Source organism: Homo sapiens, chromosome 2 (genome assembly GCF_000001405.40).
Source record: "Homo sapiens chromosome 2, GRCh38.p14 Primary Assembly".
NCBI lineage: Eukaryota > Metazoa > Chordata > Mammalia > Primates > Hominidae > Homo > Homo sapiens.
Window position 1 is genome coordinate 172,048,477 of NC_000002.12, and position 21,743 is coordinate 172,070,219.

A 21,743-nucleotide genomic window follows, 5' to 3' on the forward strand; every position below is an offset into this window, starting at 1 on the left:
AACTAACTTGTTTAAGTAAACCAATAGTACTCAGAGAAGGAAAACCAATTTAAACAAGAGCTCAAGTGAATATAAATAGGAAGGCATATCTTTTGGAGGAAATTCTCATGGTGCATTCACAAGCAAAATATAAAATTTTAAATTTCACACTGTTTCCTTCTTTTTTACCCCCAAATTGACTATACCTTATTAGGCATTGAAGAGTTGAGGTTTCTTTGTAACACTCCAGTAGAAGCATACTTCAAAAAGTGTCCCATCCCCTCAGACAATAAATATGTTTCAAATGTTTTACACATCAAATATTTTGGTATTGTGGCAATATTAAAAACTTTAAATATGAGATGATGAATTTGTCATTTTACTGTGTGAATAATCTTGGTGTTGGCTAAGGTTTTCAAGTAATGTGTTTTCAGATATGAGAAGCAAGCAGCCTGCTATATACAGATAAAGAGTACATGTTTTTTTGGTGGTTGGGGTGGTTTTAATTTTTAACGTTTTTAAATTTTTATTTTATTTTAACTTTTTTAAGGCAGGGTTTCGCTCTGTTGCCTAGGCTGAAGTGCAGCAGCGCAATCTTGGCTCACTGCAACCTCTGCCTCCTGGGCTCAAACGGTCTTCCCACCCCAACCTCCCAAGTAGCTGGGACTACAGTTGTGTGCCACCATGCCTGGCTAATGTTTGTATTTTTTGTAGAAACAAGGTTTCACCATGTTTCCCAGGCTGGTCTCAAATTCCTGGACTCAAGCGATTCACAGGCCTTAGTCTCCCAAAGTGCTGGGTTTATAGGCGTCAGCCTGGCTTAATTTTTAATCTTTAGTACAAAAAGTAACAGATAGTTGAACATTCATATCCTTAAATATATAAGTATATATATTTAAATAAATGTTTATTTATATTTATGTTTACTTATATACATATATTTACTTATATACATATTTATATTTATGTTTACTTATATACATATACACACACATACACATATATATGGGCCAAATTGTAAGCAGGCATCTATGGAGCTCCCCTTTTAAGCCTGTGCCATTTTAACACTTTGTACTTTTTGAATTAATACCAAAAACTGTCGAGTGAGTATTCATATGGTCAACCAGGTATACCTAGTAGAATTGAGTGTAAAATTATTTGGGCAACATAACTATACCAGTCCAAAAAGCTGCCTTCAGAAAATTTGGAGCTTTTGCTTTTACTAAAGAGGTTACTGTATACTTTCTCTTTATTTTTCTGGTTGAAAATAACTCCTTGATGAGTGATCTTGGCTTCTGTTGTCTTGAATCTGTGTACTCTCAACTGCAGAAGCTTGGAAATATATTGTTTTCCTGAAGCATTAGCTTTCTCATTTTAGGTAGTAATTATTGACCTATCTACCTACCGATTTACCACTCCTATTGACTGGTTACAGGGCAGAGACAAAACTCCTACAGTTGTCAAAATACCACGATAAGATTGATATTCAAATGTTTTCTTTCTATCCCATGCCTTTCACTTAGAGATGTACAGTGAAAATCTTCTCAGGAAGTTTAAGATGTAGGGTTTTTTGTTTTTTGTCTTATTTGTTTTTGATATTGATACTACAATTTTGGTCAAAGCTCTGAGCTATTTCATCCCAATGGTTTGCTTGTGTGGCAATAACTTTCAATGGCCCATTGAAAAGAAAAAAGGAAAGAAAGACATCCAGCAATATACCTAGGGCATGCTGTATCTAGAATTCAGTTGACACTATTGTAATATGAAGACTAAAATCATGCTCTTTTCAAATGCTTTAATGTAATTTAAAAATATATTAAAGCTGTGCTTTTGATCATAGATTATAAGCCCTCATATCTTCTGTTATTGGGCATTTTAATACAAAATAACTAATATTTTAAGTAGTATATGACAGTAGTATTTATGAATAGTCTGGAGGTTTTTTTAAGAATTAAAGAAGGATTTTGTTACTATATCAGTTTTTTTTTAAAAAACTCATGATGTTTTTATATAGACTTTCTCTAAAATTCAGTTCCATGTGTGATTCCTATGAAATTGCTCTTTCTGGTTCTGATTTGTGTGCTTTAATATAAAATCATTCTATTTTCCTCTTCTTTAACCAAAGTGTGTGAGGTAACAGGAATGTTTCTTTTGAGAGACTTTGGAAGGTTGAAATTTGCCAGATGTTCTGTGCTAACCTAGAAGTGTGCATTCCCTGGGTAGCAGGACTGTGTGAAATTCTTTCCTATAACTTTGACAGAGCATTTGGTTTTGGTTCATTTTAGTGTTGTGCTTCTACTCTGATGAGAGCTTGTCTTTTATTCTGTGTTTAAATGATATTAAGGCATCCAGAAAATCTGACAAAGAAAATGATATTTTGATGACATTTTTCACAGGGCTCAACTAGAATGAATTATTACATTTTAACCACGGCCCTAATAAACAGCTTCTTTATTTCCTCTGTAAGGATACAATATTTCTTTGTCCAAGAAGTTGCCTGAGTATATGTATTGTTGAAGTGCTAAAAAGCTGCTTTTCTCTAAACTTTAGCTGAGAGACAATGGGATTTGCCAAGTATATACCATTTCATTGTGACTCAATACTTTATAAAGATGAATTTAAATTTTGAAGTAAACTTTTTTTGTCTCAAATGGAGAAATTCCATGCAATAGCCCTATTGTACAAATTAAACATTTCTATGTAACTTCTACTTATCCACCAAATGATCAGCTTTTAGTTTTATACTTGAGTTCTGACTATAATCTTTGGCACCCTTCCCCCAGCTATAATTCGGCTAGCCTAAAGGAATTTTTTTTCCTAGACTCACAAGCAGGAGCCTATATTATTAAGTAGGAATGTTTATAGATCTGTGTTTCTAGAGTAGGTTGAGGTGTTTTAGTTTCCCAAAAAGAGGGGAATGCTTCTTGTTTTAAATACAGATGCCTGTGTGCTGGTGGTGTACATTAGTGAATAATCACATATTAACAGATTTAGCTTTTGTAAAGAAGCAAAATGAAGTGTTTTCGTAAAACATTTCTGAACTTGTCATTGATGTTATACTCTATCAGTTGCTATTGATAATTTTATTTAAAGGAGGAGGTATATAGTATAGCGCCAACTTCCTGATTAGGCCTTGGGGAAGGTCACGTTTTGCAGTGACCTGGGCACCACTCTTAAATGTTGTTATTATTGGAAGAGGGTACCCTCAGGCTGCTGCCCTTCCTCTCCCCAGAAGCGCTCTGTGACTGACTTTCCAGTTCATCTTTTCTAGAACCAAGACTCCCAGGCTGTAGATGAATTCTGACATCTACAGACCAGTATCCATCTCAACTTCATTTGAGGTGAATTTTATTAGTAGTAGTGACCCAGTCCTACCTTAATATGAGAATGATGCATCCTCATAAAAATTGCAAACTTAGAGCAGTAAACAACTAGGATAAACTTTTATGTTTCAGCATAAAAGTGAGTTATGACTTTTTTGTCATTTAAAATATTGCACACATTTCCTTTTTATTTCTGTGGGATCTTTGTTACTGTTTTAGTGGTCTTAAGTAAAAATAACTTCAAGGACAACACGGTTGGATGTGAAGTAGAATATTTATTTCAGACAAGTATTATGCCCACATATTTTAGATTCAACTATGTGCTTTATTTTCAGCATTAAAGAAAATGAGCTGTTTTCCAACACCTGCATACCAACTGGGCCTGCATCCTCTTTAGAAATGTTGTTTAATAAACACTGTGGCTTTATCATCCAGAGGCTGTTGCCAAATGCTGTTAATTAGGCCAAAAAAATGTTTTTTAAAGGTTGGTGAAACAGATCCACTTTTCTCTCTGTAATGGCATCTTAGCTTGAAATCCAGGAAGCAGTGGTGTATGGTGTCCATATCCACGATTTCCTGCATTGGAGAAAAAGTGTGGAAAGCATCTGGGGAAAAGGAGGCTCTTTACCAGCTTGTTTCCTGTAAGTTCAATTGGAAGACCTTGTCTGTGCAAATAGATTTCAAAATAGAGCCTGCCCTTTGACTGTCTCCATAATTACATGGCTCGCTCTGTATTTTATTTGGCAGCCAGAGCAGTTAACCCCTGGAAGGAAGGGGCTGATGGTATGGCCAGCTTGGCTTCCCAGGCATGTCCATGGGAATGAATAAACCACTGTTTGGAGAAGCCCATAGCTAAAAACACACTAGAATAGTCTGTAACTGAACTGAAACTCTTTTAAAACAAGTTCACTAATGTTTATTATGATCGGTTAAAAAACTTAACTTTGTCCTTATTGTGTAGATTATAGAGCTGTATTAATTGTTTTAAAAATTGGGAATTGGGGGAGTTCCTTGTTGCTTTGATGTAATCAACATCTGTCAACAGATGAATTTGCTTTTGTTTAGTTTCAAGGGCTCTTGTCCTTTAGCTTTGCCCAATCAGTATCTGCTTCAGCCTGGGGCATTCCCTAGTAGTGCATGTGGTTTTTTTTCCCTCAGCAAATGCATAGGTTATTTCTCATGAAATGTGAGCTTCTCTTCTGCTTTATAGTTGCCTTGAGATGGGAAGGAACCTTCAATCTTTCTCATTTATTTTGAAACGTACACCTTAGTACTAGATTATAAAAATCAATAAAAGAGTTATATCAAGTGATGCAGACTATTTAATTTTTCTTTAGCAACATTTGTACAAGTTATGAAACATGTCAAGCAATCAGTGTTTTAGGTCAAGAAATATAAGGCATGGATGCATTTGCAGTGTTCTCATGGACTTGAAGCACACAGCGCTGTAAGAGCCTGTGCTCCTACTCTGAGTAATTGGTTGGAGTTCATGAAGTGTGATCTTTCTGTGGGTCTAAATCAGCACCCCGAAAATATATTCCTATGCTATAGTCCCTTCTGAGCTTACTGTAGGAGGCAACATTTTTAAACAGTTAAAAATGTATCAGATTGCTGTCACAAAGTAAGTTGGGTTTTTTTTCTTGTTAAAGTTAATATATTATTAAGCAAATCATTTGGTTTAAAATTAAAATCATCAATGAATGTAAGAACCATATTTGAAAATGAATTAGCAAAACATTGTTGTTTTTCTCTCTTGGTAATCATAAATCATTTAAATCTGGCAGGCATTCCTCTCTTCATCCAAAATAATTGCCTCCATTTGTAAAATCAATTAGATGTTAACATGCTATAAATAATAGTTTTGTTACTAGACTTTGGCATTTACTGATCATTATGAAAAAATATATTCAGTAAGACATTTTACAGGGTGTCTTTTAAATCACATATTATCTCTGGTTGACATTGTTAGCTAATGTAAAGTAGTGCCAAGCTACATTATTGTGTTGTTTTCTACCCAGATATTTGATACCTCTGCAGTGTAACGTAACTGAGGATTGATGGCACACTGCAGGGTGAAAGTGCTTCCCTGGAAACATACAATGAAAAATATATGTGTTGGTAGTCCAAACTTGAGTACAAATGTACTTTGTTCAGTTTTACAACTGCTTAAAATAATAAGCATTTTAAATGTCTCTTTGAAAGTTCATTCAGACCTCTCCCTTAAAAATACTTATTGACCAAAAGAAAACTCACATTTTCAGGGATAAAATCAGCTTAATTAAGGGTCATTAGTAAAGGTGCACATGAAAACCCAGGGCTCAGTGGGTGAAATGGAAGCATTTCATTATGTGGTATAGGATGCATGAGCAGATAACAATTAAAATGGACCCTGAGTAAGAGGCCAATAAATATAGGGCATGTTGTGTGCAGCAACATTCGTTATTTAAAATGCATTCCTCCTGGCCAGGCACGGTGGCTCATGCCTGTAATCCCAGCACTTTGGGAGGCCGAGGTGGGCGGATCACGAGGTCAGGAGATCGAGACCATCCTGGCCAACATGGTGAAACCCGTCTCTATTAAAAATACAAAAATTAGCTGGACGTGGTGGTGGGTGCCTGTAATCCCAGCTACTCGGGAGGCTGAGGCAGGAAAATGACTTGAACCCGGGAGGCAGAGGTTGCAGTGAGCCGAGATCGTGCTACTGCACTCTAGCCTGGTGACAGAGCAAGAAGACTCTGTCTCAAAATAAATAAATAAATAAATAAATAAAATGCATTCCTCCCTCCATCATACTTGAATTCTATAATCCTACCTTCAGATTTAACCTATAAAGGAAAATAAAATGCAGCTTTTAGAAATGGATGTTATTACTGAATATGAAAATATTTAAAACCATAACCTAGATTTACATTCCAAATACAAATTTTAAATATGAAAAAATGTGCTGCAGGATCCAGAGGACATAGAGCAATTTCAAGAGATGTTCAGACTGCACAGTGTGCTCTTCCATGGAGTGCAGGAAGAAGTTGCCTATAATTTTCAGCGTTCAACTCAGACTAGGTGCTGATAGAATTTTTGTAACACTAAAAATAATTCTTATTATTACCTTTGATAACAGTAACTATTCTAGTATTCATAAAAAATAACATGTAGATTTACTCCCTAAGAAAACCCTATATAGAGTTGCTGTTAGGTCATCAACAGTAGCAATACTACGATCATCTCTTGCAAGATCAAATTAGTATAAAGCAACTCCTCACTGTTCTGGGCTCTCCTACTCCCCTGAGGTTTCTGGTGATTTCCCACTGGTGTCTCTAAAAACATCAGATTAGTCCACTTGCCCCTTGTAGTAATTAGTACACACCTGAGTCTTGTTTCCCCAAATAGCTTTACCAAAACACCGTGTGCAGTGAATCCTGAATGAATGATAGTGTGTGGGAGACGGAGGGACTATTTCTGTCTCTGAAGATGGTCATCATGCATCAAATTTGTTGTAACATTGGTGGTAGCAATTTGGAAATTAGATGTAGTTATAAGGTATCAGCAGTGCTTTTGTCAAGAAATGAATTATATAGGAAATTCAAGAGACCATTTCTACATTGATCTACATTAGTTACTGTAGTTCGGGTATCCTTTCTGTGACCCTGAATATAATAGAGACTGGGGATTTTAATTTTGCTCACTCTGCATTTAGAAAATTTACTACTTATTTGTATTGTGATAAACAAAGTTGAGGGCCCGCCCCTCTTTCTTTGCCAGGCTAGTTGGAGGACCATTATCTTCTAAAGGTACCATGACTTATGCCCATTTCTTCATTTCCCCTGTGAAAACACCAGATTTTATTTCTAATAAAAAGATGGAATCATTTGTAATGAGTAGTTAGTGGAATAAACACAGTATGGCACCTTATTATCCTGTTGCCTTGTGACAACATTTGTAAGGGTGTCTTTCATCAGATTGAAAGAAAAGAATTCGTTTCAAATACAAAAGTGTCTTATGAAAGTGAAATTGCTGAATACAGTGTAGAACCATAATTGTCAACAGATTGGATATGTTCAGGCTGTGTTCCTGACGTTTCGAATTTTACCATCCAGTCATGTGTGGGTGTGTCTGCATCTTTTCGGCAGTGAGGCTGTCATTTGGCAGGACAGGTACCTTGGCAACACTGTTCATCCTAAAAGTGAATGTCTCAAAAGCCTCATCCAGATATCTAGTGGAGGCCTGATGACTTCATGCTTCAAGTTTAAGTACATAGAAAAGATTCCCCCTATAATGACTGTGTACTTGAACTTGATAACACTGATAAAGATGATCTTTTGTGTAATCAACCACATTGAAAAAAATCTTCATGAGTCCTAAAATTGATCAGAGGCTACATCTTCCCATTTCCTGGGATGTAGCATGACAATCAGATGGTGCTGAATGAAGGCACACATTTCAGAGCTGAAGGGACCTCAAAGATTGTGAAGCCCAACTCTCATTTTACTGAGCTTCTGCATCTCACAGGGTAATGTCTTTGAAGTACTCAGCACCGAGCTTGGCACCAGTAAGCTCTTGGTCAGTCAGCATCCACTGTTATTGTTATTGCTCAAGATCACATAGCTCTTAGCAGGACCAGGGGTAGAACTTTCTGTCCAATGCTGTGCCACTTTGGTTATTTTTTCATCATGCATAGCACTGTCTGATGTAATCAAATGCATTTGTTGATTTGCCTATGTCTGCCTCCCACTACAAGGATGTAAGCTCCCTGGGAGTCGGGACCTTGTCACCTCATTCACCACTGAATTCTCTAATCCAGAGCATGGCACATGCAATGAGTTCATTAAGTAGTTGTTGAATGAATGAAGGCATTTAGAGACCCCACAGGTAAACATGTTGAAGAATGGAGAAGGAAAAGGAAAAGAAAGGAGCATTTATGGAGCACCTATTTTTTAAAAGATGGTTTACCTATTTATGTTATCTCAGCAAATGCTCACATCAGCTCGTGGTAGGGAGAGCACTACTACTCCCATTTAATAGTGAAGAAAATGAGTCTCAGAAGTTTTGGTAACTCACACCTGTTTGACCTCCAAGCTCATGCTGTTGTCACTACCATAGTGCCTCCCAACTGGATCATTTCTAAGAATTTTCATGAAAAGTGTCTTCATTCTAAATGCTAACTAGTTACATGATATTTACATTTTTCATGATAAAAAAAACTGACCTTGAAATCTAGTCCCTGAAAGAATACATTATGTAACAAAACACACTAGCGAATAGAACTCATAGAGCCCCTGCACACTGCTGAGAGGCAACTGGAATGGCAGACACAGCCCTGGATTTGGATTTACAGGATTAAGCTTGGGGCCTGGTCATTGATTACCAGACTTGTGAGCCTTAGTTCCTCATCTATAAAGCAGTGATGTTAACAGCTACCTGCCTAATGACAGAGCTGGTAAGAGGTAATGTATGTAGAGCACCTAGCACTGAGCTTAATCTAAGTGTCCATTAAATTTTAACCACTGTTATTATTACTATTTATATTAGCATTATCATTATTAATAGTAATTATAATACTTTCCTCAGAAGAGAAACACTTGTGAGTTTGTGTCTTGTATGTGGTCCTGCCTAGCAATGCAATTAGGGAGGTGGAATCATAGATTGAGTCCACCTGTGTCTTTCCAAATTTTCCATTTCATATCCACAGACTGTCCAACTAATAGTTCTGGCAGCCACCTCCCCAAAGCGTGTGTTTGGTCAGCGAAGGCAGCTTGGCTTAAGGTAGTGGGTGGATTAGGCCAACCCATCACCACTTTTGGAAAAATAATAGTAGTAGTAACAATAGTTTTGTGATGCCTTTTCAATTTTCTGGGTATTTCCCTGTGTTTTAGCTCCTGTTTTTTCTCATGCCTGTGAGAGAAGTAATACATTTTGTAGAGGCAACTTAGCCTGCTTTCCCTCTCAGCTTTGGCACTTACTGCATGTTCCTTTGTGTGCCTCAGTATCTTCAACTGTGACATGGAGTAATAACAGTTCACAATTCATACAGTTTCTGTGAAGATTAATGAGCTAACATATGTAAAGTGCCTAGTACAGTAATTGAGGCATAATAAGTGTTCAGTATTAGAAGCTATACTGGAGGTCATGTTTTCTTTCCCATTTTATTTTTTGTGCAGACTTTTTTTTTTTTTTTGAGACAGGATCTTACTCTGTTGCCCAGGCTGGAGTGCAGTGGTGTGATCATAGCTCAGTGCATAACTCAGTGATCATAGCTCCAGGGCTCAAGTGATTCTCCTGCCTCAGCCTCCTGAGTAGCTGGACTCCTGAGTAGCTGGACTGACTCCTGAGTAGCTGAACTCCTGAGTAGCTGGACTACAGTAGCTGATGGCCCAAGCCACCACATCTGGCTAATTCTTTTATTTTTTGTAGAGATGGGATCTCACGATCCTCCCACCTCGACCTCCCAAAGCGCTGGGATTACAGGTTTTTATGTATTCTTGAAAGAACTATTATTTATTGGGTATCTTCTAAATGCAAGACACTTTCACATTTCTTATTTCAATTCTCACCTGAGACTGAAATGAAGAAACTTGTGCAGGGCCACACAGCTAATAAGTGGTAGAGCTGAAACAAAAGTCCAGGCTTCTGCCTTCCAACTGTCTGCTTTTCCTAGGACACTACCCTGTCCCTCATATATCAGTTGACAATACTAGGGTTGGTGATATTGTCATTAGGGAAATATTATACTTTAAAAGCTTTACACAATACATACCTGCCTCTATCAAGCAACTTTTTTTTTTTTAGAGAGACAGGAGTCTTGCTTTGTTGCCCAAGCTGGTCTCAGACTCCTGGGTTTAAGCAATCCCACATCAGCTGCCCTCCAAAGTAGCTGGGACTACATGTATGTGCCACTGTACCTGAGTTTTGTAACTTCTTTTTAAAGAAATGATATTACTGACATTTTGTCTAGTGCTTGAAATTGTTTAAAATAGTACCAAAAACACCTCTATAAGTTAGATTCAACAATATTGCAGTCCACTTTAAGGAGGGACATAATTGAGTGAAACCTATCACCCTGAATCACTGATCATTGCGGTTTGTTTGCATCAGTGCCTTTCCCCAAGTCAATTAGAGATCCAGAGTTTTGAAGCCAGTACTTACCTGCAATTCACGTTTTCATTATGTTTCACAGCTGAAATGTTACTCTAGGCCAGTTCTCAAGCTTCGTGTGCGTCAGGATTACCTGAGGGCTGGTTAAGGCACAGATTGCCCGCCTCCATCACCAGTTTCTATGTTTGTAGGTCGATACGGGGCCCAAGAATTTGCATCTTTTTTCTTTTTCTTTCTTTCTTTCTTTTTTTTTTTTTCTGAGACAGAGTCTTGCTCTGTCACCCAGGCTGGAGTGCAGTGGCGCGATCTTGGCTCACTGCACCCTCTGCCTTCCGGGTTCGAGTAGTTCTCCTGCCTTAGCCTCCCGAGTAGCTGGGATTACAGGCGCGCGCCACCATGCCCGGCTAATTTTTGTATTTTTAGTAGAGACAAGGTGTGGGATTACAGGCGTGACCCACCGCACTCAGCCTTGCATCTTTTTTCTATGTGACATTATACTGCTGGTCTGTGAACCTCATTTTAAGGACTACTGCTCTAGACCAGGATTCAGCAAATGTCTCCTGTAGAGGGCCAAAGAGTACATTTTTTAGGCTCTGTGGAACATGTGTTCACAACTACTCAGCTACCACTGTAGCTCAAAATCCTCCATAGACATTTGTAAGCAAATGAGGGTAGCTATGGTCCAATGAACCTTTTATTTATGGGCACCAAGATTTGAATTTCATGTATTACAAAATATTGGGTTAAAAAGTTTTTTTCAACCATTTATAAATGTAAAAACCATTTTTAGGTTTTGTGCTGTATAAAAACAGTCAGCAGTCCAGATTTGGCCCTTGAGCTGTAGTTTTCTGACCCCTGCCATGTAGTTGTGACCTGTTGGGGACTTCTAAAACTATTGTTCTGGCCAGGCGCGGTGGCTACGCCCGTAATCCCAGCACTTTGGGAGACCAAGGCGGGCAGATTACGAGGTCAGGAGATTGAGACCAGCATGGCCAACATGGTGAAACCCCGTCTCTACTAAAAATACAAAAAAATTAGCCGGGCCTGGTGGTGCGCGCCTGCAGTCCCAGCTACTCTGGAGGCTGAGGCAGGAGAATTGCTTGGACCTGGGAGGCGGAGGTTGCAGTGAGCCAAGATCGCGCCACTGTACTCCAGCCTGGGCGACTGAGTGAGACTCCGTCTCAAAAAAAAGAAACCAAAAAACAAAAAACAAAAAAAAGATTGTTCTAAATATGAAAGTAATAAAATGAATCAAAATGTCTTCCTGGCTGGATGCAGTAGCTCACGCCTGTAACCTCAACACTTTGGGAGGCCGAGGTGGGAGGATCGCTTGAGCCCAGGAGTTTAAAACCAGCCTGGGCCACATAGCAGGACCCCATCTCTACAAAAAATACAAAAATTAGCCAGGCATGGTAGCATGTGCCTGTGGTTCCAGCTACTCAAGAGGCTGAAGTGGGAGGATTCCTTGAGCCTGGGAATCCAAGGCTGCAGTGAACCATGATCGCACCACTGTTGCCTTAGCCTGGGCGACAGAGCAAGACCCTGTCTCAAAAAAAAAAAAAAAAAAAAAGTCTTCCTCTCTACCTCTAGCCCCAACCACAAGCCACAGAAAGAGCCACTGTTTACAAATATCAATTTCCAGAAATTTTATGAGCACGTGCAAGCTTATATAAATGTATAAGCTCCTTTTACATTAATGGGCTTTTTATATGTATTTGTTAAGCATTCACTTTTTTCCTAACAGTGTATTGTGACCTCTTTCCATATCAACACATAGAGATGATGATTTAGCCTATTCTTTTTAATAGCTCCAGAATTTTCTGTAAGTATACCATAATATATTTAATCAGTCCCCTACTGGTATTTCCTATTTGGAAACATTTGAGTTGTTTCCCACTTTCTTCTACCACAAATAATGCTGCCATGAGGGTACATCTTCATTCATCCATCAGTGCATAGTGTCTGCAGGATAAAGTCCTAGGAGATGAACTGCTGAGTCAAAGGATATGTGCATTTAAAATTTTGATAGACATTTCTAAATTCCTGTTGTGAGTACTTCAAACCCTATATTCATTTTCTTTCAGTGTTATACTTACATTTTTGCTATTTAGTCTTTATCTGACTTGAACATTCATCACAATGAATTTCAGTATAATGCCTCACTGCACGTGAACTTAACACAGAGTAGTAATCCTATGGAGGGCAAAAAGTGCAGCTGGCAATTTGTCCGTGATTCTTGAAAGGAAACGGCTTTACAGAGTATAAAGCCATCAAAACAGTGCCCTGAATCTAGGGTCGTCTTGGACATTGCCACATAAGGTATTACAGCAGAAATTGTTCTTTTTACAGACCTGGTGCTTAGCAGATGTTTCTATATGTTTGTTTCCCGTTAGAGTAGAGTTTTCCATTGTCACGCATTTATGTAAACATAGTATTAGCTAATAAATACGCTGTGTTACTATTGTACTAGAATTCAGAATACCACTGTTTTCATTTCTATTTGGGGCTTTTCCTTTTTCAGTCAATAAGGTATTAGAATAATGATTTAATAGACAACACCACAACATCTTAAAGTGGAGGACTGTGTTAGGTTGTTTTTTTACTTAAAATATGTCTGTTTCTGCTCACAGGTTCTCATAGAATTTTCTCTTCACCACTCAATCATATCTACTTACACAAGCAGTCAAGCAGTCAACAAAGAAGAAATTTCTTTTTTCGGAGACAAAGAGATATTTCACACAGTATAGTTTTGCCGGCTGCAGTTTCTTCAGCTCATCCGGTTCCTAAGGTACTGTATTGCCTATTATCTCCTGCTTTTTCCAGCCAAGATAAAAGTTGACTGCAGAAGTGATCAAATATTTTTGCACCTTTGATTTCTGAGCCATTTGGGTTTTAATTTTCAAACTAGGTTTGTGATCTAAAACTGTGATTTGAGAAGTTTTAATATCCTGCAATTCTATAGCATTAATTTTTTAAAACAAAGCTCTAAGCTTTCAATTGCTTAGAGTATTTAGAATTAAAATTTTTAACATGAAATTTTCTATATTAAATTTCTAACATGAAGATAAAACTATACGTATGTAGTTTTCTAACTGTTTTAGAGAAAAAAAATTGACTATAAAATTGTGATGATTCAAAAGAGATTACTTAAAACTAACATACTAGATTTTTTTAAGCCTGTTCTTACATTTTCCTTGTTATTGATGCTGGTGTCTTTGAATTGTCTTTTAGACTAAATTAAATAAAATATGTCTCAGAGCAGTCTTGGCTTTTTTTTTTCAGAGATTGCAATTCTGTGGAAAGGCAATCTATCCATTTTTCAAAATGCAATATAAAGGGAGTGTGCGAGTGAGCCCTTTAGGAAGAAGGAGAGTAGCTAAAGAAATATAGATTGGTCACAAAAATCATCTGCTTTCTCCCTTTTATGAACTTTGTTTACAGCGAGCCCATATTTAGTATGTTATACTTCTGAAGGTGAGTGGCCCACTTTTATGGCAAAGGCCAGTGACACAGAAGGGCCACCAGGATGTATCCCCTGGCCTGGCCATCACAGTGAGAGTGAGAATTTGGTATTAGTTACAAAACTGACACTTTTTTCCTTAGAAGAAAAGAAAAAGAAATCTCTGGTGAGGTGAATTGTATTGCTTTAGCCATTTCAGTCAATTTCAGCATGACAGCCCAACAGCCCTTCTGCCTGCAAGTTATAACCTTGCCAGATCACAGAGCAGAGTGGAGACAAGAACACAGGCTCTTTGGGGGAGACCTGGTGAGCATTTGTGGGCATTTGTGGTGTAGCTGTGGGAGAGTAGATGTTCCTCTGGAGCTCAGCTGTGGCAAACCAGGCAGTAGTGTTACCTGTATCAGAAAACCCATCTGAACAGGGGAGCAAGTGAAGACCCGTAACTCCTGCAGGACAGGCTTCACAAAGAAGAGAGCCCTAACCTCAGCCCTTCCAGAGCTGCTGCAATGTTTCAATTGAAGAGTGTTATCTCCCTCAGCTTCCTGTCCCAAACTGCTGTGGAGCCTAACTGTGGACTGTCCAATAATGCTTATAGTTTGTAATGCATTATAAACTATAAATAGTTTGTAAAGAGCTGTGCAAAACCTTGGGACTGAAAGAAGCTTTGTGTGTAAGATGGTATTTATTTCCTGAATACTGCCCATGGTGGAGAATGGTCTGCAAAAGTGATCAGGGTTGCACGTCTTGAGTTTTGGGGTGGCTTTTTGTTTACTCTTGACAAATAATGGAAATGTTCTAGGTAATTTTTATGTATTTGAAGAATAAAACTTGTTTCATTTTATTCTAGTGTCTCAGTGTAAGTACGGTTGCAAAATGTAAGAAAAGTGTATATGTAATAGGCTTTAGGGAACTTGATAGTCAGCCTTTTTACATATGTTCATTTTGAGAGGGTGTTGGGAGCTATCTTTTGCATAAATTATATTTTTGTGTTAAGAAGATGAAAGTGCTCTTAATTAACCATTTGGTGAATTGGAAGCTTGGTGCTATTTTTCATCAATGGTGAATATGCTTCTAACTGGGTTGGGAGGAGGAAAAAGAGAAAACTACTGTTTGTTTTGACCAGAAGTCTACTTCAGTCCAGTTTGACTCAAAGCATGGTAAGGTTAACAGACCATCCAGAGGCAGCACTAACAGGCAATGTTAAGTTCAAAAGGGCAGGGGAAGGAACTGGGGGCAGCCTGGAGGGTCTGTTGTGCTGGCTTCGGAGGTCGGTGCTCCGGCAGGAAGGGCAGAGCTCCATGAAGCAGGAGGCTGTGTCTGAAAAAATGATCCCATTGTCGTGCGCTGGGTTCTGATCTTCGTTTTCAATCCTTTTTCCTCAAGCACATAAAGAAGCCAGACTATGTGACGACAGGCATTGTACCAGACTGGGGAGACAGCATAGAAGTTAAGAATGAAGATCAGATTCAAGGGCTTCATCAGGCTTGTCAGCTGGCCCGCCACGTCCTCCTCTTGGCTGGGAAGAGTTTAAAGGTGGCGTCTCACCAAGCCTCAGAACGACTTACATAAGGGGCAACAAACACTCCTCTTTTTTTCCTTCTCCTTAACTCTTCTTTTAGGTTGACATCTAATTTGTTTTAAAAATTTATTTGTTTTAAATTAATTTGTTTTTAAAAATTAAGTAAAGCCTTGGGATGGGGAAAAGGAATTTTATTATTTTATGTGTTTATTCAAGAAGTAATTTAAAATCCAAATTCAATTTTAACTAGCAGAATTCTAGAGATACTTTGGTCTCAGTCAACCTATCCAAGTTGATCAATGGCAGACAGCTTTGATTTTTGCCCCCCTACTCCTGCCTGTAGTTTCAGCTTTTACTCCCCACATTATTTCTGTGTGCTTGAAGATTTGCTCTACCTTGTCCTTTGTCTCCTATTTTCTTGCATTTGCCCTGCAAAGAAAGATCAGATCACATACACAAAGCTGTAGGTAATATAGCAGTGTAATTACATACAACTTCCTACTACAAGATTTAGTTCTTTTAGGCCAGGCGCAGTGACTCATGGCTGTGGATCATTTGAGGTCAGGAGTTCGAGACCAGCCTGGCCAACATGGTGAAACCCCACCTCTACTAAAAATATAAAAATTAGCCAGGCATGGTGGCGGGCACCTGTAGTCCCAGCTACTTGGGAGGCTGAGGCAGGAGAATCACTTGAACCCAGGAGGTGGAGGTTGCAGTGAGCCAAGATCATGCTACTGTACTCCAGTCTGGGCAACAGAGTGAGACTCCATCTCAAAAAAAAAAAAAAAAAGATTTAGTTCTTTCATTTAGTTCTTTCATAATAATCTGAAGCACCCTTCTGTATAAGGATTATAAAAGAAAAATATGAGCCTATTTTCTGCCAAAAGGTGGGCAGAATTTAGGAAGTGAGACTCAAAGATAAAATCACTCACAGTATCTTCTGTGTAATAAACTTACAACACGGCTAAACATAATGTATATATACAAAATGAAGAAAATTATTGAAGAAATGGTTAATTTTTAATAAAAGATTTTATTTTTGTTTTAGAATTTTATTTATGTTTATGGAGTTTATGGAAATAGTCTTCATATACTTATAAAACTCAATTTCAGTTTTCTTTTAGTTTGGGAGCAATTTAGTTTGGAATACCTTTAGTAAGGAAAAAATATTTTAAAAATTACATTTATTTAGACATGAAAGAAATGAAGATTACTTAAAATCAAATCTCTACAAACTATATTAGACTCACTCTTTTAAATATCAACCATAATCTCTGTGCCATTGCTGCAAAACCCCTGTAATGTTTTACTGAGATAAAAAGATGCGAGTTGACCTACTTTTCAAGCTTTTCAAGGTTCAACTGATGAACCTTTTGAGCATTTATTCACATGCGCTGGGTAGCCCAGGGCACCAATCATTGAGAAAGAGTAAGGAATTGCCGAAGAACATAATTTTGAAATCCTCAGGCCAAAAGGGAGTTATGTCATTTAATGACTCACAAATGATTTAGAGGATCGTAGGGTTTAACATTTCTATTTCCTAATGGTCCATAACACCATCATATGCCCAAATGATTGTCCACAAGGCACAGTTGAGGATTCTAACACTAATCATAATTAATTCAAATGTTGTACCATAACTTTATCATAGTAAATTTATACAGTCTCACATGGAAGTACTGTTGCTATAGCATAGTTGATAAATACAAGAAATGTCTTCAATTGTTGCTGCACAATTTCTTTATTTAACATTTTAGGTTGACATGACAACTGAAGAGATAGATGCTCTTGTTCATCGGGAAATCATCAGTCATAATGCCTATCCCTCACCTCTAGGCTATGGAGGTTTTCCAAAATCTGTTTGTACCTCTGTAAACAACGTGCTCTGTCATGGTATTCCTGACAGGTATTCAGTTCTTAATAACATATTGTTCCTTTGGAAACTAAAACATGAAGCTAAGATCTGTAACATATGTTGAAAGACACTATCATTCAATTGAAACCCACCGGTAAACTTCTGAAATTGATTATGATAAAACAGAAATTTTGAAGTATTTTACTTCTAAATGGATACACCACCACCATTTAATGTTTGTTAAAGCAGTGCATAATCTAAATGGGGGTTGTGCATTACGTATGTCTTTTACTTCTTAGATTTTAATCATATAAGTGGTAAAATTCAAATGTGGCAAATTTTTCTTATCAACTCTTGTTTTGGTTCTTGGCAAAATTAAGGTAATAAATTAAGTGCATCTTTTGAAATAAAGATTAGATTTAGTTATCCTGTGTAGTCCTCCTTCACTCCAAATTATCACTGCATCCCATTGGGTTTGTGACAGTAGTCATTAAGTATTTATTTTTATTTTCCTTTTATTGAGATCTGTCTATCACCATTTTTTTTTCTGTTTACGTTTTAGTCGACCTCTTCAGGATGGAGATATTATCAACATTGATGTCACAGTGAGTAAATCATATAAAAAATTGTCTTTGATCAACTTCAGAATTGCTGGTAGCAACAGGAAGAGTGGATTGAAAATGTGAACTGCACCAGTGGAAGTGCTGTTTACTTCTAGACCCAGACGCAAGCAGCTGGTTTCCTTTTTTGTCTTTAACTCTGTGTTTATTCCAAGTAAACCCAGGCCTGACTTGAATTTAGGGCTGCAATCAGATGCACTGAGATCAATGTTGGCCTAAGTGAAATGTCAACCCAATCCTGCTATGTGTCATGTTTTTGAGAAGGTGTAATTGTTATTGATCCACTGTGTAGTTAACGCAGAGCACCACAGCACTGGGCAGCTGCTGAAGCTAGATATGTATGAGATGAGCTAACACGAAGAAAGCCAGCATTTTTCCTTCACTCTGCCAAGATTGATCTTCCTCTTCCTGCTGATTTTGAGTGGGGCCTGTCATTATCTTACTCTGTCATTAGGGGCTACATTGGCCTGTGTATGTCAGTCTATTTGGACAGCAACTCTTTTGCTAGCAGTGTTCCCTAGATTTATTAAAATCCCTGAAGGTAACGTTGAGTTCCATTTCTGGTATAGAGAGCCTTGTGCTCAAAGTAAGCAGAGTGGTTTTTTTGTCTGAACTTAAGTTTTCACCAAATGGTTAATAGCCTTTCTTTTAAGTAACAAGCCTAAGTAATTTATCATAGGGACTTCAAATTGTACAAGATGTAGCTTTTTCTCATTTTCTTAGCCTTTTACCATTCTCAGACTTGGATTATATGTGCTTTTACATTTCTGTTTATTAAAGAATTTTGTAATGATACCTTTGGATTACCTAGATTATAAATAAATTCTGTACATCTAATGATTAACAAATACATTTTAAATAAATAAACAAAATTTAAACATCTTAGGAGAACTAGTTGAAATGACAATATTCAGGGAATACAATTTCTATTAATAAGGAAGTGTTTTTAAGAATAGTATCTAGACCATGAAACTGAAGTAGGAGTGGGAATGAGATAAAAATAGGAATCCAATGGTGGAATTCAGTCTGACTTTTAGTTTAAGTTAACTAAACCTTTTTTCTTCATATCAATCATATGAGGAGATAGCCAACGATTCTTTCATTGCTGATGCTATTTCCTGTATCATTTTATCCTACTTAAAATGCTTGAACACTTGCACCACATACATCCTGTTGGTATCTTTCCAACTCAGAATCATGTGGAAGGAGGTATTTTATGAAGTATACCTAAAACAGAGTTCTTTTCATGAGACACTTTTATTTTGGATTGTACCTGATTTTACGGTTTTACATCTATTTTCTCATCTAGTCACCCTATCATGAAATGTTACCATTTTAATGTTTTGAATGAAATCAACTACTCTTCCCTACTGTTTCCAGTGTGTCCAAAGAAAATACTCTATTCCTTTTCTAAGTTTCCTGAATACTTAATAAACAGTTTTGTATTTAACATTCAAATTACTTCACAATTGCAAAACTTATAAAGCAAAGTGAAATATTTCCAAGTGTCTAGAAATGTGAAGGAATCTAGGAAACATATAGGTCCATATCTTAACAAATTATATTTCTTATAAAATATTTTATTAAGTGAAGGACTCCATTATCAGATCCTATGTTTCTATCAGAAAATACTCATTGCATCTTAGAATTATTGACGTCTAGTATACATCACAAGAAATTAGATTTCCTTCCCCCCTTTAAAACTGAAAAATGTTTTTCTTAAAGACAATGCGATGTCCATAGTAGTTGCTCAATAAATATTTGTTAAATGAAGTACAAGGGCCAGGCGCAGTGGCTCATGCCTGAAATCCCAGCACTTTGGGAGGCCAAGGCAGGCGGATCACCTGAGGTCAGGAGTTCAAGACCAGCCTGGCCAACATGGTGAAATCCCATCTCTACTAAAAATACTAAAAATATAAAAATTAGCCCTGTGTGGGGGCAGGAGCCTCTAATCCCAGCTACTTAGGAGGCTGAGGCAGGGAGAATTGCTTGAACCTGAGAGGCAGAGGTTGCAGTGAGCTGAGATCGCGCCCCTGCACTCCAGCCTGGGTGACAGAGCGAGACTCTGTCTCAAAAAATAAATAAATAAATAAATGAAGTACAAGTACTAGTTTATGGGTATAAATAGAAATTGTAGATGACTGCCACAGACTTTCAAAAGTATTGTATTTCTGTATATAGTGAATCTTTTAAGTAGTCTTTTTTTTTTTCAGACGGAGTTTCCCTCTGTTGCCCAGGCTGGAGCACAATGGCAGGATCTCAGCTCACTGCAAACTCCGCCTTAAGGGTTCAAGTGATTCTCCTGCCTCAGCCTCCCCAGTAACTGAGACTACAGGCACACGCCACCACACCCAGCTAATTTTTGTATTTTAAGTAGAGGCTGGGTTTACCATGTTGGCCAGACTGGTCTTGAACTCCTGACCTCAAGTGATCCGCCCACCTCCGCCTCCCAAAGTGCTGGAATTATGGGTGTGAGCCACTGCACCAGTCTCAAATAGTCATTTTGATATTCCTTCCTTCCTTCCTTCCTTCCTTCGTTCCTCCCTTCCTCCCTCCCTTCCTCCCTTCCTTTCTTTTTCTTTTTCTTTGTTTCCTTTTCTTTTTTTACTTTTTCAGATATAGGGTCTTGCTCTGTCACTCAGGATGCAGTGCAGTGGTGCCATCATGGCTTACTGTAAGCTTGAACTCCTGGGCTCAAGTGATCCTTCTACCGTAGCCTCCCAAGTAGCTAGAACTACAGGCGTGTGCCACCACACCTGGTTAATTTTTTAATTTTGTAGAGATGGGGTTTCACTATGTTTCCCAAGCTGGTCTTAAACTCCTGGTCTCACGCAATCCTCTCATCCCAGCCTCCCAAAGGATTGCAGGCGTGAGCTACTGCACCCAGCCTCAAGTAATCATTTTCAAAGCTAGGAAAAAGTAATATGAAAAGATGAATAAAGATTTTTTAAAATAGTACATTTTTACTTAAAAAGCAGTTATATAAACATTCATTTATACATTTTCTTGACTACGCCTATATTAGCAAATTTTATATTCTTGTATTTTGAATGAAATCGTATTTTGTATTTTGAAATAGTATTCTTGTATTTTGAATGAAATATAAGAATATAAAAATTTGAATTTTTGAACGAAATCAGCATAGTCTTCCCTACTGTTTCCAATGTGTCCAAAGAGAATACTCTATTCCTTTTCTAAGTTTCCTGAAGACTTTTAATAGTTTCATTATTAACATTCAAACTATTTCAAAATTGTAAAACCTATGAAGCAAAGTGAAATACTGCCAAGTGTATAAAATAAAAACTCATACTTTCCTGGATTGCAAAGGACTGTAAGTGGGAGTAAATGTATAAAACACTATTCTGTTGCAAGGTAATTAAGATAATTTGATATAGTAGAGAAAACACTCGATTAGAAGCCAATAATCCATCATATTAACCTGAATCTACCTCTATATTCTGCCACCAACCTTAAACAAGTTACTTATCTGTGCCTCAGTTTCCTGAATTATAAACTGAAGATCTAATAAAGACCTTTCTTGCTTCCTTCACAGAATATGAGAGCATTTTTTAAGAAATGCAGAGTAGTATACAGATTTAAGACATTAATTCAGTATCACAACAGACTGAAAGCTCATATAAACATCTTTTTTATAACAGTTTCTACATTCTACCTTATGAGCAAGAGAAATGTGAAAAATAATTAGATAGGACAAATTTATGCAAAGTAGCAAATTCCATGCTACATCAAAGGATCAGTATCCAAACAGTTGCCTCTGCCTTTTATATTTACTATAGTGCTTGGTTATCAATGATTTATAATGAATCTGGTATCTTTCAAGATCCTACTTGGCTTCTGAATCACTGAAGACTGATAAAATTATACTTTCTGTAATTGT

The 21,743-nt window shown here is 37.5% G+C and overlaps 1 protein-coding gene across 8 annotated transcripts in view; it reads left to right on the top strand.

The window, feature by feature from the left end:
• Positions 1 to 21,743, top strand: part of METAP1D (methionyl aminopeptidase type 1D, mitochondrial) — an 82,478-nt gene that overhangs the window by 48,524 nt on the left and 12,211 nt on the right. For 4 of the 8 annotated variants that reach the window (NM_001322279.2, NM_199227.3, XM_047443871.1 and 1 more), the window contains exons 2-5: positions 13,022 to 13,179; positions 15,235 to 15,384; positions 17,128 to 17,276; positions 17,788 to 17,830. In NM_001322279.2, coding sequence (NP_001309208.1) covers positions 17,134 to 17,276; positions 17,788 to 17,830 — 186 coding nt within the window. In that variant the 5' untranslated portion in view covers positions 13,022 to 13,179; positions 15,235 to 15,384; positions 17,128 to 17,133. Of the gene's footprint in view, positions 1 to 3,830; positions 3,944 to 13,021; positions 13,180 to 15,234; positions 15,471 to 17,127; positions 17,277 to 17,787; positions 17,831 to 21,743 lie in introns of all 8 variants that reach the window. The other 4 variants (XM_047443870.1, NM_001322278.2, NR_136273.2 and 1 more) reach the window with 4 other exon arrangements.